Source organism: Homo sapiens, chromosome 1 (assembly GCF_000001405.40).
Source record: "Homo sapiens chromosome 1, GRCh38.p14 Primary Assembly".
Lineage (NCBI taxonomy): Eukaryota > Metazoa > Chordata > Mammalia > Primates > Hominidae > Homo > Homo sapiens.
The window spans coordinates 180,558,258-180,580,368 of NC_000001.11; the positions used below are offsets into that span (position 1 = coordinate 180,558,258).

The 22,111-nt window shown below is 42.3% G+C and overlaps 1 long non-coding RNA gene and 1 pseudogene across 2 annotated transcripts, besides 1 other annotated feature; one reads left to right on the forward strand and one right to left on the reverse strand.

The window, feature by feature from the left end:
- The first annotated feature begins 706 nt into the window (after positions 1–706).
- OVAAL (ovarian adenocarcinoma amplified long non-coding RNA) lies at positions 707–8,261 on the forward strand. Of its 2 annotated transcripts, none has more exons than NR_125716.2 (3): positions 707–798; positions 3,947–4,087; positions 6,994–8,261. It is a non-coding gene; the product is annotated as an ovarian adenocarcinoma amplified long non-coding RNA (long non-coding RNA). The 2 variants fall into 2 exon arrangements; NR_185874.1 differs by lacking the exon at positions 707–798 and adding an exon at positions 3,261–3,435.
- Positions 7,467–7,684, reverse strand: LOC124904658 (uncharacterized; annotated as a pseudogene).
- Positions 13,177–14,376: an enhancer, noted in NCBI's record as "CDK7 strongly-dependent group 2 enhancer chr1:180540570-180541769 (GRCh37/hg19 assembly coordinates)". NCBI's record gives its function as "activates an origin of replication core promoter dependent on BRD2, BRD4, P300/CBP, MED14 and CDK7 cofactors, with strong dependence on CDK7, by STARR-seq in HCT116 cells {active_cell/tissue: HCT116}" and the evidence as "EXISTENCE:reporter gene assay evidence [ECO:0000049][PMID:35650434]".

Consider the following 22,111-nt stretch of genomic DNA (forward strand, 5'->3'; position numbering starts at 1 on the left):
CTCAAAAATAAATAAATAAATAAGTATTTCAGTGTACCCATTTGGAGAATTTCATAGCTGCTATTCTTGATAAGATCAACATTAGATCATCCTGAGTTTGACATTTATGATAAAAACCCTCAAAATGTACTTTTTTGTTTTTGTTTTTGAGACAGGGTTTCACTATGTCGCCCAGGCTGGAGTGCAGTGGTGCAATCACAGCTCACTGCAGCTTGAACTCCTGGGCTCAGGTGATCTACCTCAGCTTCCAGGGTAGCTGGGACTACAGGTGTGTGCCACCACACCCAATTAATTTTTTATATTTTTTTTTGTAGAGATTGGGTTTTGTCATATTGTTCGGGCTGGTCTTGAACTCCTGAGCTCAAGCAATCCGCCCGCCTTGGCCTCCCAAAATTTGGGATTACAGGTGTTAGCTACTGTGCCTAGCCTGTGCTTCTTGATTTAATAAAATTTGGCATTTGTGATCATGAAGTGATCATGTAAGACTTATCTCTACTGCTTCCTTCCATGTTGATGTGGTTTGACTGTGTCCCCACCTAAATCTCAACTTGAATCGTATCTCCCAGAATTCCCATGCGTTGTGGGAGGGACCCAGGGGGAGGTAATTGAATCATGGAGGCTGGTCTTTCCTGTGCTATTCTCGTGATAATGAATAAGTCCCACGAGATCTGATGGGTTTATCAAGAGTTTCTGCTTTTGCTTCTTCCTCGTTTTCTCTTGCCACTGCCATGTAAGAAGTGCCTTTCACCACCCCCACACCCTGCCATGACTCTGAGGCCTCCCCAGCCACGTGGAACTGTAAGTCCAATCAAATAAACCTTTTTCTTCCCAGTCTCAGGTATGTCTTTATCAGCAGTATGAAAACGGACTAATACAGTAAATTGGTACCAGTAGAGTGGGGCGTTGCTGAAAAGATACCCCAAAAAGTGAAAGCAACTTTGGAACTGGGCAACAGGCAAAGGTTGGAACAGTTTGGAGGGCTCAGAAAAAGACGGGAAAATGTGGGAAAGTTTGGAACCTCCTAGAGACTTGGTGAATGACTGATAAAAATGCTGATAGTGATATGGACAATAAGGTCCAGGCTGAGGTGGTCTCAGATGGAGATGAGGAACTTATTGGGAACTGGAGCAAAGCACTTGTTATGTTTTAGCAAATAGACTGGCAGCATTTTTGCCCCTGCCCTAGAGATTTGTGGAACTTTGAACTTAAGAGAGACAATTTCAGGTATCTGGTGGAAGAAATTTCTAAGCAGCAAAGCATTCAAGAGGTGACTTGGGTGCTGTTAAAAGCATTCCATTTTAAAAGGGAAACAGAGCATAAAAGTTCAGAAAATTTGCAGCCTGACAATGCAGTGGAAAAGAAAAACCCGGCCGGGCACGGTGGTTCATGCCTGTAATCCCAGCACTTTGGGAGGCCGAGGTGGGTGGATCACGAGGTCAGGAGCTCGAGACCAGCCTGACCAACATGGTGAAACCCCGTCTCTACTAAAAATACAAAAATTAGCTGGGCGTGGTGGTGTGTGCCTGTAATCCCAGCTACTCAGGAGGCTGAGGCAGGAGAATCACTTGAAACTGGGAGGCGGAGGTTGCAGTGAGCCAAGATCACGACACTGCACTCCAGCCTGGGTGACAGAGCCAGACTCCATTTAAAAAAAAAAAAAAAAAGAATGACTGAAACTATAGCCACCTCAGGAAAGCAAAATAATAGTAATAATAGCTAACATTGATTTAGTGGTTACTATGTGCCAGGCAGTTTGCTAAGCATCTTCCATGCTTTGTCTCCTTTAACCTTCATAATAACCATATGAGAAGATACATTAGTATTATTACAGAGGAAAAAAGTGAGGCTTAGAGAGGGTAAGTTGACAAGAATTAGTAAGTGGCAGAAATGGAATCAAAATGCTATTTTGTCTCCCCAAGATATGAGCTGAGGGAGCAAAACAAAATAAGAATGTAAGGGCATCCAGGGTGGAGGTGAAAGGGATCAAGAGAATGAGGGTGAGGCACAGAGATAAAGTAGGTGATATCGAGGAGTTCAGAAAATGAAGCCCACAAGCACTCGATATAAGAACTGTGTATCTCTTCAGAGCAAGGGCAGTTCCTGGGAGGCACTGTGCCAGCCAGGAGGTAGTTAGAATCTACAGGAATGCGAGGTCATAGAACCAGGATCATACAAAGTCTAGAGTGCACAGGGCATTACCCTACTGTTTAGCTGTTCCTCCTAGGGTGTCTCAAAAAGAGCAGATACACTAGAAGTTATATTTAGAGATACCTGGCATTTGGATTTTTAGCTGTACCTCAGAGTTCCAAAGAAATAAAGATATGTCTCTTCTCTGGCCCAGCAATTACTGAAATGGTTTTATTTTATAGATCTACATAGTTCACATACATTAGAAATGACTTTGTATAACCTACACCTTTACTGGCTAAGTTAGCAGAGAGAACATTCAGCCCACTAAATGTTCAGCAGTATTTACTTAGTTTACAAGCTGTTGCAACTTTGCCCTCCAACAAATTATGTTAGTACTAACCTAACAGCTTATAAAATAATACTTCTATAGTTAGTAACTTACATAGTAATCAAACTCCTTTTAGAAGTGTATAGTTTTTGGCAAATTAAATTATGTTTAAATATCTGCTGAATTCAACTTGTTCTAGGAATACCAAAGAACGCCACGCTTACATTTTTTAAAGGTTTTATATGGTAAGTCATCTTAGGGTAGGGAAAATCTGAATTGGCCTTTCTATTTTCAGTCCTACGGTGGGGCTTGAGTCACTGCATTCCAGGCTCAGTGAATTAGTGATAATAGAAAAGGGCACAAAAAGGCTATCAGGAACCAGGGTTATCTGGTATATTTGCTCTGCTCTTCCCTGGCACCTCTCAGTTGCTCCTGCCTGAGCATGCTCCTCTTTTCCATCTGTGTTGTTTTTTACCCCAGCATACTGTTGGAAGGGTTGCTCGAAGGCATTTGACTGAAGGGTACTTGGAAAGACCAAACCCAAACCACAGTAGTGACCAGATACTTAGTGGCAGCCCCAGCTGCAGTTATGGCAAGAAGTGGCCAAGGAGGGGAATCACCATGACCACAGAGGATGCAGTGGGCATTAGGGACCTGGCATTTGCTGTCAGAACAATCCAGTCAGGGTAACAGGTGGTGTTGCAGGAGATGGGTGGAGCACACAGCAGGGATTTGGGGAACAGGAGATCCATGGATATCTACACATGCTGACAGCTCTCAGCATCGGGTTATCTGGCAGCTCAGAGCAGTTGCTTTGCCTGGAGTGGTTGGGTACTCAGCCTGGCTGAGGCTTGTCTGGGAGAACTTTCTCTGTCATTGTTCATCTTGATCTGTGAGAAGCTGTAGGTGCCCCTAAGGCTCAGTGGGAAGATAAAACCCCAACAAGTTGGTCTGGAAAATCGAAGACCAGCAAGTGGGTATGGTCATAATAATTTTAATTTTATTTTTTTTTTAATTAGAGTTCTGGCCAGGTGCAGCGGCTCACGCCTGTAATCCTAGCACTTTGGGAGGCAGAGGCTGGCAGATAACCTGAGGTCAGGAGTTTGAGATCAGCCTGGCCAAAGTGGTGAAATCCTATCTCTACTAATAATACAAAAAATAGCCGGACATGATGGTGAGCACCTGTAATCCCAGCTACTTGAGAGGCTGAGGCAAGAGAATTGCTTGAACTAGGGATGCTGAGGTTGCAGTGAGCTGAGATTGCACCACTGCACTCCAGCCTGGGCGAGAAGAGTGAAACTCCATCTCAAAAAAAAAAAAAAATAGAGTTCGCTTTTCCTTTTTGGCCTTCCTAGACTGCGCAGGTGTCAGCAGGAGGACCAGCCATCCACTTTGGCTATGGCAGCAAGGCTTTCTGGTCAGTCTGGAAATCAGTAGGTATGGAGATTGGCTTGCAAGTACTCATCAGAGCTCCTATTTTCTTTTCAGGAGGCAGCTGTATGGAGGCCAATATGCAGACAAGGGAAGTAACTCAGGCATTTTGGGGGAGAGGTACAGAAAGAAGAGAAAAGACTGAACTGACTGCTGTTCTGAACAAGAACTGTGACTATATGTGGTACTCCCAGAATGGTGAGGTCTGGGACACTTGAATAATATGGCTATACTGTGAATGATGTTACCTAGACAGAATGTTTATCCCAGTTAAGTGATAGGTAGGGAACTAAGGTATCGAGGGTCTCAGGTATAACGTCCTGAGGGGTCCCATGAAAGCAAAGATAACAGGTGTATCTTTTATGCCTCTTAGAGCTGTACGAATGCTGTAACTCAGGGATCTATAAAGCCCTAAGTCAAGCAGAGGCACAGGTGGAAAAAGGGGCAAATTTGATAACCCAGAGAAGAAAGCCTGGTGATCAAAGCAAGGAGACAAACCTGAGGCTGCCATCAGGTGCTGAATATGAAGTGAGGCTGTCAAGGGACACAAGGTATTCAGTAGCGGATGGGGTGTGCACAGAGAGGAAGGCTGGACAAATATCTGAATCAGGGCCATGGCCCAGGGCTGATATTTTCTGAAATGCCTAAGGCATGATATGTGAGCAGGCCACTATAGTTAGAGTGACACAGACAGAGTGACAGAATAGAACAAACAGCAGAATCAGTTTAGTGTTGAGTGTGTTCATCTGGTTAGACTAATTTCCTAGTCACAAAGATAAAACTGAGAACATGTTTTTTTCCTCTAGCCAAGTGGTCCTTTACAGGCAGATTAAAGACACCAGCTATAGATAAACATGAAAGCAGCTTTACTGCTACTTCCCTTCGTTTTCAGTTCTGGTGGGCAAGTAAGGAGTCTCCCGCTCCAAGAGAGAGTAAAGGTTTAGAGCTACTCCCAGCAGGGTTCAGGGCATGCTTATGGCAGAGAGGAGACTTGCCTTCCCAGCCTCCTGCAGGCCCTAGGATGCCCTGGGTCTAGCCAGAGAAGGACAACAGTGAGTCAGCAAGTTAGAATGGGTTTAACAGTAACAGCCGGGTGGAGTTCACGTTCTGTTTCCTCAGGCTTCCACAAAGAAAACCAGAGATCTCTTATGTAGGACTAACCAAGTATAATCTTGTCTTACTGAGTATAGCCAAGTATTCACAGTTTGGGTCACTGTGAATGGAATTGTTAACAGTGGAGAATTCGTACGGGTCGGCAGCAACCTCAATCGGGGCATAAGGCAGAGGGAGAGACCCAGGCAAGTTTTAGAGCAGGAGTGAAAGTTTATTAAAAAGCTTTAGAGCAGGATTGGAAGGAAAGGACACTTAGAAGAGGTCCAAGTGGGCGACTTGAAGGACAAGTGTGGTTTGACTTAGGGTTTTATATGTTGGCATACTTCTGGGGTCTTCTCCCCTGATTCTTTCGTTGAGGGTGGTTTGTCCATATGTGTAGTGACCTGCTAGCACTTGGGAGGTGAGCATGCGCAGTGTGTTTACTGGAGTTGTACTTATGCTCACTTGAAACATTCTTCCCTTTACTGGTGACATGCCCCCAGAAGATCAAATACCAGTTAAACTCCGCCATTTTGCCTCTTGGTGCTCATGTGTGAGTCCGCACGCCCAACTCCTGGGATCTTATCAGGAAGCTGATGATCACCAGTTTCAGGTTTCTTCTATCTATAGGGAGACTGCCTTTCCCTGGAGCTGGCTGCAACCAATTATTATTTTAGAGAGACAGTTAACAATGGCCTGACCATCACCCGATGGTCGCCTGACTTTCCCGGTGGGGTGTGGGGACCCTCTTCTGTCCTGTTTGTGTCTGACTAGCTACCTACTGTAACAGGATGACCATATAATTTATCATTCAAACTACTAGACACTTTTGAGAGTGAAGGGGGGCACTATTAGTTATGTTGGCAAAACAGGTGTGAATGTGGATGTCTCTGGATAATCAATATCTACAGCCATCCAACTCATATATGGTAACCCAATCCTTTCCATTTTTTCTAAAAAGCTAGCCATGCTCTTAAATTAAAACACAGCATTTGAGTCTAAAGTCGGATTGCCAGTTAAAATACAAGATGCTCTGTTAAATTTGAATTTCAGATAAATGAATACTTGTAAGTATAACTATGTCCTAAATATTTCATAAGACATACTAAAAATTATCACGGTTTATTTGAAATTAAAATTTCACTGGGCATTCTGTATTCTTATTTGCTGCTGACAACCCTAGTCTAACTAGGGTTAGACTAGTTTAACTAGTCTAAAGTTAAACTACTGTGTTGTATTCAATTCTATCATCCTGCTTATGATGTAAGTCTTTTAGGCTCCAAATGATTTAGGACATAGTCTGGTTAGCAAAAGGAGAAAATTGAGGCATCTGTTCCAATTGGACCAGTCACCTGAGCCACTAAAATCAGCTTTCTTAAATGTCTCTGAACTAGGAATACGCTGGGACTAGGTCCCAGTGCTTGGGGTGAGCCAGGCCAGCAGGTGAGTGTCCTCAGTTGTGGGACAAGGAGCTTAGTAGATAAGCATCTTCTCCCTGCTCGATGTTCACCTTTGCTTGATCTCCTAGGCCAGTGGTTCTCACCCCTGGCTGCATATTAGAATTGCCTGGGGAGCTTGTAAACCCACTGATGTTTGAGCCCCACTCCAGACCAATTAAATCGGGATCTCCAGGGGCAGGCTGTGGCATCCATGGGTTCCCAAAAGTTCCCAGGTGATTTTAAGGTTCTAATGAGAACCATTGTCCTATGCCCTCGCTCTGTTCCCAGTGGCATCAGTTCTTGTTTAATTCTTCTCCTTTAAATACCCTCTTTGTAGTATTGGACATTTTATAGCCCAGAAAATATGACTGGAGCACCTGTTCTGTGTTAAAATGGCGGCATGGATGGGATTTGCCCGGAAGGGTTCCTTGTCCTTCCATGACCTTGTCTTGTGCTGACTCCTGGCTCTCTCCAAGCCTCCCTTCTCCTCTCTCCTGCTTAAGCCTCTCTTCAGCTTTGGCTTTCCTTGTCTCCTCCTTCTCTGTTTATAACATGTCAATTTCCATTTTGCAGCTGGTTTCCTTTCAGACCCATCAAGTGGCCATCCTATTGGCTTGGACTGAAGACCCCCACTGGAGAACTGTCTCTGCAGCCTATACTGATGACACTGGCCACTGTCCAGGGCTCCACCCCAAGGAGTCCAAGCCCCAGACATTTAGCCTTAGAGAGAATCCAGATTTTGCATTTCCAGTGCAGGGATTGATGGAGCCTTGTGTATCAAAGTGCCAATTTCTTTCTAACAAGCTAGGGAGGATACCGTTGACAGCAGCAGAAAGGGGTAGCAGTGGTTTGCTTTCCAAATGGTAATAAGAAGGGCCTGGCAGTGGCAACCTGTCCACGTATCATTAAAAATGGACTCTCCTGCTTCGTTTGGAATTCAACCCAATGAACTTGAATAAACTCTGGACAATGACCAGCACAGAGCCCTAAGCAGGATACAGCAAGATTATTTGCTTTACTCATCCACTGAGTACCTACCATGTGCCAAATACTATGCTATATGCCGAGTATACACTGGCAAATAAAACAGATATGGTCCCTGGAGCCTATGAATCTTACCCCATCTAGCCACAAATAATAAAAATAAGAAGAATCTGAAGGACAAGTGGGACAGAAATACTCAAGCAGAATGAGGGTGAGATTGAAGTCCCTGAACATACAGTGCCCTTTACACTTGATCTTAGCCAAAAGGCCGAGAAGAGATTACAGTGCTTTTTAAAGGTAGCATTTCACCCAGCCAATAATCAATCCCTTTGGCCTTCTTGAGGTGCAAGGCCACACACTCAAATTCTTTAATCAAACAATAGGCTAGTGCAAATGGAGCTATTTCTTAAACCCAGCTGTTTACACAGCAGCTACAAATCTGTTCAGAAGGAATCCCCCACCATCCACAACTGTCTATCGAGCAGATGTGCAAGAGTATTTGTCTCTCACCACCAGGGTTGCAGTCAGGACAAGAGAGCAGGTTTGAACGTCTTCGGCTCCTAGAACTGCACAAGCTGTGTCTTCAGTGCCCAGAGGCGGCTGCAACGTCTCCCCAGTTCTCCTCTCAGAACAATGGAAATTTTTTTTAGAGGCGTAATAGGAAGGTTTGCATTGAATTATTAAACAATGGGTATTGAAAAATATGTTTTCTTTGACCTCTGTACTTCTAGCTTTTACCAGTCAGTGTTTTCTTGTACCAAGGCTAAGATATGTATAACACTGAAATGGATGTCTTCTTATATAATATTTTACAAGCTTTTGAAAACCTGTGCCCTTTAATAAATTTTAAAACGTTTCATGCCCTTCTTTCATTTTCTGAAATTCAAAATAAATTAAATATCAGGGGACACAAAAGCACAAGAAGAAAGCACTGCTTTGTTTTCAAATCAGGCCCCAAGCCACTGCCCTTGAGATTCTTGTGGGTCAGCACAAGCACCCCTCCCATCTCCAGTTCCTGAGACTCATTGTTCCAAATGGTAATATTAACATTTGCCATGTTCACTCATGGATAACTTTCCATTATTTCAGTTGTAAACATTTTCTATGTGAAATATGAGATGAGACCAATGAAACAATAGATTTTAAACAAATTAAATAAGAATTTTTGCAAGCAAAGGAGCATCATGACTTTGAAATGGCCACTTTTGGGGGCCATGCTTCTAGGGCTAAAATACGCATGCTTCTGGGGCTAATACCTTGGCTCCAAAAATTGGGAGGTACTCATTCAGTGCAGCGGAAAGGAGTATAAGCTTTGGAAGCAGGTGATCTGGATGCAAATCACATTCTGCCACATTTTAGCTGTTGCCGCTTTGACCTAATTGTTTAACATCTTTCTAAGCCTCAGTTTCCTCAATGGTAAAAGGAGAAAAAAGATAAGAAAAAATGAATGCAAAATGTCTGCACATCTCAAGAAGCTAGTAGTTACCAAGATTGGAACTATCACTAATGATATGTCTTTTCCTTAGAGATCTTTTAGGATGATTTTTTTTTTTTTTTTAGAATCTCTTGTCTTTTAAAGTCAAATTAAGAGAATAGAAGTGGATAATAAATGGCTGGCCGTTCTAGTTTTAGAGGGAAAAAAAACTGTTGCTATAGTCACTATCCTACAATTTTGTGTGGTTCGTTAAATGACTCTGAAGTTCACTCCAAAAGATGTTTCCAAAATGTTCTGAGCGACCACATTCTCCTTAGAATTGTGCACAGACTGGCTGGGTAGCCACTTTGAAGGGATTCAATTCCTTTGAATGTTTAAGTAAGTTGTTTGGTGTTAAAGAAATTCTCTTTGTTTTATGGCCACACCACAAATATGGACATTGTAAAAAAGGCTTAATGATTGCAAATCCGCCTTGCCATTTCCTCTATGTCCAGATATATGTCTTTTTAGAACACTGATGTGTAGTAAGCAGAGATTTTTATTCCTTTTTAATTTTTTTCCCCTTTGATTCCTGAACCTTTGTCATCGACACAGGAAAATTAGACCCAGTCCCTGCTACCAAAAGCTACCGCGATCATTCCACAGTTTCACACGCTTTCAGGTTTCCATTTTCCTTCTCTCACCCCAGATGCCTGGCATACGCGATAGCAGCAAAAACAAAATCTGTTGCATTTTTGGAATGTTATTAACACTGAAGCAGCCCAGGGATTGCAACAGCTAAGATAGGGATCCCCACCCCCAACTTTTTTCTCACTAGAGAGCAAAGAGCAACTCTTAAATCCAGAAAGCGAGGAGAACCTTGTCCGGAAGAGGCACTCAAATGCATTGAATCCACTGATTTCCCTCTGCTTGCCACCCCAGCCTTCACCACCCCATCTCGACTTTCCCACAGGAAAACCATGTTAGGTGTTAGACAATGATGCCACACAATAGAAATATAAATCCAGTGTTTGTCTAGCATAATATAAATGGCACTGCTGAACTCCATCCTTCCTCCCATTGACAACATCAGAGAGATAGTTAGTGAGGGGCAAAATCATCTGTGATTGTCTCTGCATGGATGTTGAAATTGCTCCCCCCAGGGTCTTCTAGGGTTTTTAAGCATAAAGGTGTTCATCCAACTGAAAAAATTGTATATCTATAAGCAATTTGAGATTCAGCATGTCTGGCAATGCACATTTTTTTAAGGATGAGAAAATGCAGCATGAAATGTGTTTATGTATGCTGTGCTGGGGAATTTCTGAACCTTTCACTGTCATCTTGAAGCCTTTAAGAGGGAAGCTCTTGAGGATGTTGGATTATAAAAGTCATTCTCTCATTTCTGGGACTTAAGGACACGTCTCTGAGCATAACAAATGTGCGATCACAAATGAAGGTGCCTTGAGCTTAATGGAAGAAAGGTTTATCTTCAACACTGACATTTCTACTTCTCTAATAAAATCATATTGTGCCTCTTTTTTTATTAAAAGGTTTCTTCGCCCTTCCCCTTTCCTAGGGCTGATGGGATTCATCCCCTAAAGCTGGTGTGGTTGGCAGTAACAGGGCTGAGTAGATTTAGCTGGTATGATCAGGAGATTGGTTACAGGGGAATTGAGCAAATAAGTAAACATATTGAAAATGATGGGAGCCAGGCCGCTCACTGTTGGAGAGATCTATATTTGAGTTACAAATATAGAATGAAAGAAGGCTAGAATAAATGCTGTGGTGTTGGAATAGAACTGAAAGTATTGGTGTGAACTCCTGGTTTTTAATGTAAATATATAACAAAGATTTATGTGTATTATGTGTGTATATATAAATATATACATATATAGAGATACACATATACATGCATAGACATATCTATCTATCTATATACCTAATTTCCTAGCTCTATCTGCACCGAGTGCCTGAAAGTAAAGGCACCCAAGTAGCAATAAGCATACCTAGCATCCACATCATGGCTTCTAGATATTATTTTTTATTAAAAGGAAATAGGACTCCATCAGGAAATAGCTGATTCCAGGATGTGGTAGTTTTAAAACTGGTCCACTCGAAGATATCTACATCTTAACCCCTGGAACCTGTAAATGTTACCTTATTTGGAAAAAGGATTTTTGCAGATGTGATTAAGTTAAAGATTTTTAAATGAGGAGATTATCCTGGATTAGCCAGGTGGATCCTAAATGCCATCACAAGTGTCTTTATAAGAGAGAGACGGGGGAGATTACAGACAGAAGAGGAGACAGCGTGACTATGGAGGCAGTGATTCAGTCACAAGTCAAGGAGTGCCAGCAGTTACCCCAAGCTGGAAGGGGCAATAGACAGATTCTCCCCTAGAGCCTCTGGAGGGAGTGTGGTTCTGCCAATAGCTAATTTCATCCCATTAATATTGGTTTCAGACTCCTGGCCTCCAAATTTGTAAGGGAATAGTTTCTGTTGTTTCCAAATCTGTGGTAATTTGAGATGGCAGTCAAAGGAAGCTAATATACAGGCCTGGGGCAGGGAATGTCCAAGATGAGCCTGGAGCATCTTCTTGAGCCAGAAAGTGAGGTGATGCTCAGGATGAGAAAGGACACAGGGACCAGCCTGAAGGGACTTCCATGGGCCAAAGTGAGGGCAATAAAGAATCAAAGGGAATATCAAGAATAAAAGTTGGGCACGGTGGCTCATCCCTATAATCCCAGCACTTTGGGAGGCCAAGGCTGGTGGATCACCTAAGGTCAGGAGTTCGAAACCAACCTGACCAACATGGTGAAACCCCATCTCTACCAAAAATTACAAAAATTAGCCGGGCATGGTAGTATGTGCCTGTAGTCCTAGCTATTCAGGAGGCTGAGGCGGGAGGATTGCTTGAGCCCAGGATGTTCAGGTTGCAGTGAGCGGTGATTGTGCCACTGCACTCCAGCCTGAGCAACAGACCGAGATCCTGTCTCAAAAAAAGAAAGGAGAGAGAGAGAAAAGAAAGAAAGAGAAATGGAATTAGAATATCACCATTTGGCAACCAACAGAATGGAAATTAATTTGGACAAGAATCATCAATGGATGCAAAAACTAGTGGATGACAGTTTGATGAGAAACAGCATCTTTACATTATCTCACAGTGTCTTCCAACAAAATACTTGTTAACTCTTATTACCCATTTTTAATTTAACATCACCAGTAATGGGACAAATTGACATCATGTACCCTTGATATGATAGACTGAGAACAAAGCATTACTCTGTGGTGTTCCTGCCAAAAATGCATGACATAAAGCTAATCACGAGGCAGTATCAGACAAACCTGAACTGAGGAGTATTCTACAGATAACTGGCTGTACCCTTTGAAAATGTCAGAGGCATGCAGGACAGGGAAAGGCTGAGAAACTGTTCCAAATTAATTACTTCCAACAACCAATCCTCAACTGCATTCTGGACCCATAAAGGATATTATCAGGGCAGATGGTAAAATTGGAAGTTTGTGAATAAATGGTGACATTGTATTGATGTTTCTACTTAGTTATGTAGGAGAATGTCCTGCTTTTAGGAAATGCACACTAAAGTATTAAGAGATAATGAGACATTATGTCTGCACCTGCCTCCCAAATTGTTCAGCACAATAATTTATAAAAATACGCAGAAAGATTGAAAGACAAATGTGGTAAAATGTTAACAATTAAGGACTCTAGGTAAAGGGCATATGGGAGTTTGTTGTAGCATTCTTGCAACATTTTTGTAAGTTTGAAATTATTTCTAAATGAAAAGTTAAAAAGAAAAAAAGATAATTATTCTACCATGGTACCCTGTAACTTTCATTCAAAAAGTACTTATGGAATTCCCATTCAGAAAGTGAAAGGGCATTGGAGGGAAAGCCAGGGTACCTGGTTCTGCCACTATCTGGGTCCCCTTGGGCAGGTAACTTAACCTCTCTGAACCTCAGTCTCCTCAGCTTTATCATTCTCTGCTTTTCTACACCTAAGGCAATTGATTTCACTAGTTGGTTTAGTTCTGATTTAGAAGGAACCAACAATGGCATAGTTAAAAATCATTACTGTGGAATGGGGAGTGGCTGCTAGTGAATAATTGAATGTCATTTCTTTTTGCAGGCAAAAATGTTCTAAAATTAGATTGTGGTGATGACTGAATAACTCCATGAAAATAGTCAAAAATATTGAATCATGCACTTGAATGGGTGAATTATTTGGTATGTAAATGATATCTCAAGGAAGCCATAGAACTCATTGCTGTTGATTTTCTCACCCCACAGCCAACCGTGATTCTATAAGGTTAGACTGAAGAAGCCTGTGATGTAATGGTGATGGTTTAACAGCTGGGTGAGTAGAGAAGACATTCTCATTCCAGAGGCAGGTTGAGAAGGAAAAGAGCAAATGCTAAAGGAACATTTCCCAATGGCCGAAGGAAAGAGTGTGAGGGACATTTCAAGTGCCTGCCCCCAGCCTCTGTCATCATCCTTTGCCCTCTCACTCTACGAGGTCCTTGGCTGACCTGATCCTTTACTGTGGTTTCAACTTCCTCCCATAGGTTGGTGACTCCCTGTGTGATTTAGGATTACATGTGGCTGCAAGAGGAAAAGGAAACTAAAATACTGGGAGCTTAAAAGCTTAAGCAAAAGCTAAGTTTTAAAATGTATTTTTCTTTCTCACATAACGTCTGAGTAAACAGTCCAGAAGCTCCGTGAGGTCTGAGATCCTCTCTCTGGGCCTCCCTTTACAGCCTCAGAGGCTGAGTGCCGAGCAGCTCTAGCAAGCGCGATTCCCATAGACAGCCTGAGTGGTTCCTTCTGGAGTAGAGCAATGTGATGGCCCTGCCCAGGACCCTTCTCTCTTGTCTTCTTTAAGTGGTCTCATCTGTGTTGTCCAAGATGGCAGCATTTATCTTCCAGGAAGGAAAATGGCAGAAGGGACAGAGGCAGATGAAGGGGCGCAGGGTACACGTGGGCTGAATCTTAAGTAAGGTTTTCAGAACTTCTCATTGTCTTAGTCATATGACCATACTCAGTCTTAATCATACATGTCTTAGTCATAGGACCATACTCAGTTGCAAGTGAAACGGGGAAATGTAGTTTTTATTCCAGGTGGCCATGCACCCTTCCCCCCAGAGAAAAGCGAAGGGAGGGAAGGAATCCTATTACCATGAAATAAGAATAAACAAGTATTAGGGGACAACTGGCAACCTTGGTTGCTATTTCCAATCTATACTTCTAGTCCACACCCATATAGTCAATTGTCTCCTGGACACCTCTACACAGATGACTCACAGACAGCTAAACAAAACCAGCCCTAAATGGAAAGTGTTGTGCTTCCCCACCTACTCCCGTCCCAAACCTGCTCCTCCTCCTGCGATCACCACCTCAGTGAATGGTAATGTCATTCATCTACTCGGATGAGAATCATCTTAGACTCTTGCATCTCCTTCACTGCCTGTCCTCTCTCCCTGCCCTGAGAGTGCCACCCCTGCAAATCTCCTCCTCCCCATCCCCATGACTTTAGCTGAGACTCATTTTTTTGCTGGTCTGGATTACTATAGGGGCCTTAAACCGGACCTCCTACCTCCAAGTTGTCCCCACTACAGTCTTTTCCCCACCTTGTGCCCAGAGTACTCTTGGTGAAGAGAAACCTAATTTTCACCTACCCCTCCTTCGAACTCCTGGGTTTCTCTGTACCTTTGGTGGTAAAGGGGTTTCCTCGTACCTTTGGTGGTAAAGTTCACTCTGTTTGAGCATAGCACCCGAGGCTCGTCAGGATCTGGCCTCTGCCTGCCTCTCCTGCTCCATGTGCTACCTCTCCCTACCACACAACCTTTGATCCAGTCCAATGGTGCTGAACTATGGGTAACAGTTCCCTAAACAGCCAGCTGATGCATGCCACTCTGCCCCTGCACAGCTGCCCATTCAGTCTGAAATGACCTTCCCATTTTTGTCTAATTCCTACTTCTTCAAATCTCAGTGTGAGCACTGCCTCCCCAAGGAAGATTTCCTGGGTTCCCCAGTCTGATTTAGGCATTCTTCCTTTTACTGCCCTAATACACCATCCGTAATTATCTCAGTACTCACGTATTTGTATATCTTTCCCACTATACTACAAGCTCTTCAAAGGCTGGGATCTTGTCTTTTTTTTTTTTTTTTTCGCTTTTTTATCTCATATGCCTGGCACATGAATATTTGTTGAGTAAATAAATATGCCAGGCTCAATCCTACACGTTTATATGTCATTTATATGGGGAAACAGGCTCAGAAGAATTGCATGACATGTCAAAGACCACAGTGCTAATAGTACAAATGGAAATTAAATCCAATATTCGTGCCTCTTTGTGTGTTCCTACTTAGACAAATAACATTTATGGCTGTTTTGAATTGAAATGTGGATGCACCCACTTTGGAGTTGATTAACCTTCATCCTAAGTCTATTATCGGAGGTGTGTATTTCTTCTCTTCCTCCACATTCTTGAGTCTACGAACACATTTCTAGGGTACTTACAAAAAACAGAGTCTTGTCCAGGCGTGGTGGCTCGCGCCTGTAATCGCGGCACTCTGGGAGGCAGAGGCAGGTGGATCACCTGAGGTCAAGAGTTTGAGACCAGCCTGACCAACATGGTGAAACCCCGTCTGTACTAAAAATACAAAATTAGCTGATCATGGTGGCACATGCCTGTAGTCTCAGGTGCTTGGGAGGCTGAGGCAGAAGGATCGTTTGAACCCACAAGGCGGAGGTTGCAGTGAGCCGAGTTTGCACCATTGCACTCCAGCCTGTGCAACAAAAGCAAAACTCCATCTCAAAAAAAAAAAAAAAAAAGTCTAGGCTGAGCACAGTGGCTCATGCTTGTAATCCTAGCACTTTGGGAGGCAAAGGTGGGAGAGCCACTGTGCCCAGTAGTTTGAGACCAGCCTGGGCAACATAGTGAGACCCCCATCTCTACAAAAAATATTTAAAAATTAATGGTGTGTGCCTGTAGTCTTAGCTATGAGAGAGGATTGCTTGAGTCCAGGAGTTCAAGACTCCAGGGAGCCATGATTGCACCGATGCACTCCAGCTTGGGCAAGATAGAGTCTAAAGATAGAGTCTAAAGTCTTTGCCTCCTCCTGGAAAAATGTTATCATTGTTCTCTACCAGCGGAGTCTGTTTCTTTACTCCTCCACTCCTTCAATGAATATTTGTTAAACACAGCTCTGTGTTAATGCCTAATTGACACATAAACATGCAGAAACTAAGATATTTCAGCCATTATCAGAACCTTTTAATCTTTTTGTTAGAGCCAAGGAGATTCAGCTTTGTCTAAGGATACGGTTACAAATGAAGAACAAGGAACAGAGCTGTATGTGTATGTTCAAGGTTGCATGCTATTATTGTTCCTTCTAAAGCAAGGCAGATATAATCCTTGTATTGGAAACAGGTTTCAGGTACAATAAACAATGTGCTCCCTTATCTCAGAAGCACAAAGGTGGTTCAGCCAGTTGTTTACCACTCAGGTATTCCTTATTCAGCAGTTTTCGTACAAAAATGCTACCTTTTAATTTCCTAATGCTCTGCCCTCCCAAAAGGTAATAAGAAATAGAAACTGGGTACTGCCTAAATGAATTCACTTGTGTGGAAAACAAAGTCATTTTTATATACTCCTGCAATGTGCATTTGACTACAAGCCAGAACATTTTACACAAGCAGTGGAATTCATCTCTTGAAATTGATTCAGGTTTTCTCTGATAGGAGGGGTGGAAAAGGAAAATGAAAAGCACGTGATTATAATTGCACTTGGAAGCAGTCCCAGTTACAAGAGCAGTTCTTTAAAATTATTCTTTTGGTTTCACCTTAAATTATCTTAATGGGAGAGTACAGTTTAGTAGGAACAAGGAAAAGTGGGAAAAGGATACCTGGAAGTTTCTCTTTTCTCTTCTTTTGTCTTTTCTTTTCTTTTCTACCTCCTTCCTTCCTTCCTTTCTCTTTCTTTCTTTTCTTCTCTTTCTTTCTTTCTTTCTTTCTTTCTTTCTTTCTTTCTTTCTTTCTTTCTTTCTTTCTTCTTTCTTTCTCTTTCTTTCTTTCTTTCCTTTGACAGGGTCTTTCACCCAGGTTGGAGTGCAATGGCATGATCATAGCCCACTTCAACCTCAAATTCCTAGGCTCAAAAGATCTTCCTGCCTCAGCCTCCCAAGTATCTGGGATTACAGGTGTCCACCACTACAACTAGCTACTTTTTTTTTTTTTTTTTTTTAGTAGGAGTCGTTATGTTGCCCAGGCTGTTCTTGAGGGCTCAAGCAATCCTCCTGCCTCAGCTTCCCAAAGTGCTGAGATTACAGATGTGAGCCACTATGCCCGGCCTAGAAGTTTTTATTTATTCATTCAATAAATATTTAGCACCCACCACATGGAAAGCACCACATTGGGACCTGTGGAAACATGATGATTAGTCAGATAAAAGGTCTGCCTTCAAGTGAGCACAATACTGCAGGCAAGTTAATACACACAAACACACACACACACACACACACACACACACACACACGTATTGTCCTCACTAATCTAATTCAATCTTAAAATTTTTGCTACCTAAACCCAAGAATTAAATAGATTCAGATACATTTTAGAATAAATCCATCTCCATCCCAGCTTTTACTACTTGCTTTCCAAAACTCAAGAACCTCCAGTCATCAGTACTTGGACACACCATTCAAAATCAGTCTCCAAATTCAGGAACCTGATCGGTGTGGCTGGCAGGATACTTTAGTACTATGTAACATGATAAGGGCTATAAGAGTGGCCCCAAATGCTATGAAGCTTGGAAGAGTGTGAGATAGGCGTACAATCTAGTGGAGAATATATTTTACTTTTGCCTTGAGCAGTGGGTAGAATGTTTCATCGCCAACCTCAGTGCCATGACATGTCAAAGACGACAGCACTAATAGTATATATGGAAATTAAATCCAATGTTCATGCCTCCTTGTGTGTTCCTACTTAGACAAATAACAACCTCAACCTCAGTGCCCTCTAGCAATTCTTTTATTTCTCCCCTATATGTCCTTTCCCCAACACCCCCCTTGAAAGCCTTTCACCAGTCTTTCAAGTCCCCTACTTCTACTTTCCTCCCTTCACTCTCAGAAAATGACCTTCCCTCTTACTTGATAGAGAAAATAGGGACTGCCAGCCCTGCATGACCTCATTTTCCTGACTACATTCACCTCTCCCCAGTGAAATCACCCCACCTTTCTACATTTCATCCATCCTTACTGAAGCCATCCTTCCAGTGTTAACAAGAATTCTGGACAGAAATATAGTTATAATTAAGCATTATTCAGGCTGCACGTTGACTCACTTACTTGTAACCGAAAGTCACATAACCCTAGATACTAACCGTATGTATCCCCATTATGCCAATAGATAGAATTTCTGACAGAATCATAAGGCTTTCATTTAAGAGTTGTTTAAGCAGATCCTGAATTCCAGGAGAACAGCTAACAACCAGTTTAGAGGCTCTCAAGGAGGAATCAGTTCCGCATGAGAATAGAGTTTCTTCATCTCCCTGTCCTAAGACTTCACCCTGCACCCTTGGACCGGTCGATGGTGACACTTCAGCCCACTCCAAAACCCTTAAAAACCCTAGCCTTAAACTTCCTGAGGAGATGGATTTGAGGTATATGTATATATATAATTTTTGGAATTTATATAGATATATGTTATGAGAATTAGCTTACACAATTATGGAGGCAGAGAAGTTCCACAATCTGCTGTTTGCAAGCTGGAGAAGCAGGTCTAATTCATTCTGGGTCTGAAGGCCTGAGGACCAGGGGAGCCAGTGGTACATCTCCCAGTCCAAGGCTAAAGGCCGGAGAACCTGGGGGGCCACTGTTGTAAGTGCTATATTTCAAAGGCCTGAGAACCAGAAGCACTGAGGTCCAAGAGCAGGAGAAGATGGATGTCCTAGCTCAAGAAGAGAGAGAGTAAATGCACCCTTCTTCCGCCTTTTTGTTCTATTTGGCCCTTGAAGGATCGGATGGTGCCTGCACACATTGGTGGGAGAGGATCACAGACATACCCAGGAATTACGTTTTTACCAGGTACCTGGCCAACTCTTAGCTCAGTCAAGTTGAAAAAAAATTAACTGTCATAAAAGTAATCCCCTAGGATTTGACCTTCGAATTTTCCTTTGAATTTCTCCTTTGAATTTCATGCTTTCCCAAATCTGTAGGTCTGTGACAAACACCTACTGTCATTTTTTTCTCTCTTCAGGGCATTCCTTCCTTTTCTAATTCCTGCTTCCCCTTTCCATATGCTTTGGGCTGCCAATAATATGATTTTGCCTGCATAGCATGGGTTGGCCCATGTCCCAAACAAGGCCAATTAGAGTCTGTTTCAAGGGTGGATATGGGCCCTCGTGGGCAGAGTCAGTTGCATTATTTTCTTTGGGATTGCACCTATCTGCGCAGTATAAGCCTGACCATCTTATACAGGGTGAGTCTGCCTGAGAACAAAGCCAAGGAGAGGCTAATGATGCCAAGAAATACAGAGATAGAGCACTGACAACATTGTTTTTAAAGCCTTGGAGTTTTCAGTTACGTGAGCCAAAAATTTCTCTTTTGGCTTAAGGTTGTTTGAATTGGGTTTCTGTTGTTTGCCACCAAGAATTCTGATTAGTGTTGTTATCTGTCAGTCAGCTCTCCTCTCTTTCCAGTAACTTTGGTCTCTCCCCTCAAAATTAACTCATTTCCTTCACCTAAATACATGCTCCAGACTCCACCTGTCTAGGAAAACCCTCCTTTAGTCCCGTAGCCCCTGCCTGCTCTCCCTCATTCCCTTCCTAGCCACAAGCAAGAGTTGTAAGTGATGAGATTTTCCCTAGTCTGTGGCATAATCAATAACATTAATAAATGAATAAGAATAAAGATAATGCATTGAGGTGGTTTTTGTTTGTTTGTTTTGTTTTTAGAGATAAGGTCTCACTCTGTTGTCCAGGCTAGAGTATAGCGGCACAATCCTAGCTCACTGCAGCCCCCAGCTCCTGGCCTCAGGCAATCCTCCCACCTCAGCCCCTACAAGTGGTGAGGACTACAGGTGTGTGCCACGATACCCAGCTAAAGTTTTTGTATATATATTTTTGGTAGAGACAGGAGTCTTGCTTTGTTGCCCAGGCTTGTCTTGAACTCCTGGCCTCAAGCGATACTCCCTCCTCAGCCTTCTAAAGGGCTGGGATTACAAGTGTGAGCCACCCACCATAGCCAGCCCACCAAATCTCATGTTGAATTGTAATCCCCAGTGTTGGAGGTGGGGCCTGGTGGGAGGTGTTTGGGTCATGGGGGTAGATCCCTCCTGGCTTGATGCTGTCATTGAGACATTGAGTGAGTTTTCATGAGATCTAGTTGTTGTAAAGTGTGGCACCTCCCCACCAGCCAACACATCTTGCTCCCATTCTTGCCATGTGAGATGCTGGTTCCCCCTTTGTCTTGTGCTGTGAATAAAAGCTCCCTGAGGCCTCCCCAGAAGCCAAGCAGATGCCAGCACTGTGCTTGTACAGCCTGTAGAACCATGAGCCAGTTTAACCATTTTTCTTTATAAATTACCCAGTCTCTAGTTGTTGTTTTTTTTTTTTATAGCTATGTAAGAATGGCTGCTATAAACATTTGTGTACAGGTCTCTGTGGACATATGTTTTTATTTCTCTTGGGTGAATAGTAAGGAGTAGGAATGCTGGGTCGTATGGTTAATGTATGTTTAATCTTACAAAAAACTGCCAAACTCTTTTCCAATGTTGCTATGCCATTTTGTATTATCAGCAATGTATGACAATTCAAGATACTCCACATCTGTGTCAGTACTCGGATTATCAATGTTTGTTTGTTTGTTTTGCCCTTTTAAAGGGTGTGTAGCAATGTTTTATTGTGGTTTTAATTTGCATTTCCTTAATAATTAATGATGTTTAGCATATTTTTATGGCCTTACTTGCCACCCATGTCTCTTCTTTAATGAAGGGATCTTTTGTTCATTTAACAAATTGGGCTGTTTATATTCTTACTGTTTTGTGAGAGTGCTTTATATATTCTAGATACAAGTCCTTTATTGGATATATTTTTATCATATATTTTCCTCTTAATCCGTAGCTTGTCTTTGAGTGACAGTGAGTAGAGTTTTAAATTTTGATAAAGTCCAATTTATCTAATGTTCCTTTTATGCTTCATGCTTTTTGTGTCCTATCGAAGAAATCTTTAATCAGTGATTTTGTTTTTAAACTACGCTTATTTAATTCAAAGCATTTGAATTTATTTTGAGATTGTGATTCTTTCTTTATTGGACTTAAAGTATCTTTTTAAAATAATAAAGTAATAATAGATAGAATTGTGTGTGTGCGTGCACGCATGTACACACATTTTCATGCCTGGTAAAATAGAGTTGACCAATGTTTCTATGTTGGCTTCATAGGTCAGTTTCCCCAAGGAACATACATGTGACAAATCTTCTCTCCCTGACTAAACTTTAGTAAGGCTTCACTAACCCCTTTCCTCAACTAGGCTTTGACCTTGGGCTTCAGTGTTCTTTCTTGTCAGAGTCGCATCACCCAGTTTAGCAAGAATCCTGTTAATTCAGTTCAGAGAAAATCTACTACTCTCTTTATTTGATCACCCTTGATATCAAATCAAATTCCTCATCCCCCACCATCTCCTAAGTAGTATCTGATCACCCTTGTCAGCCTTCAGCAAGAATCTTGTTGAGTCGGTATAGCCAGATTCTCTTACCCCTGATTTTTCATCTTAGTGATTTTTCACCCACTGAACTCCAACTCTGATCTTGGCCTATAAATCCACATTTGTCCTTGTTGTGTTCAAAACTGAGTCCTGTTCTATACTGAGGCCTCTTTCTTCCTGCTACGATAGTTCCTGAATGAAATCTGTTTTTATCACTTTAACTACTGCCCGGGAATTGTATTGGGAAGTGCTACCAGAAACAACACCTCTAAAGGTGTGGGCGAAAGCAGATTGAAAAAAGGAGATGAATGATGATGCTGTGGCAGCAGAGGCCTCAGCTGCTCCCCTGGGAAGTTCTGGAGCTTGGATGACCCTGTGGAGCTGCGCTGAATAGAGGGAAGTGTCTGGACTTGCATCCCTCAGCCCCTCTGCCCATCAAAGGAGATAATGTGAGAAATTAATATAAAACGTGGTATAGAAATGGGAAAGAAAAATTATTTGAAGTGTAGTGAGTTTGGTGAGGCAATCCTTTTATAAGGACAAATAAAACAAAACTAATTAGTCATTTGTG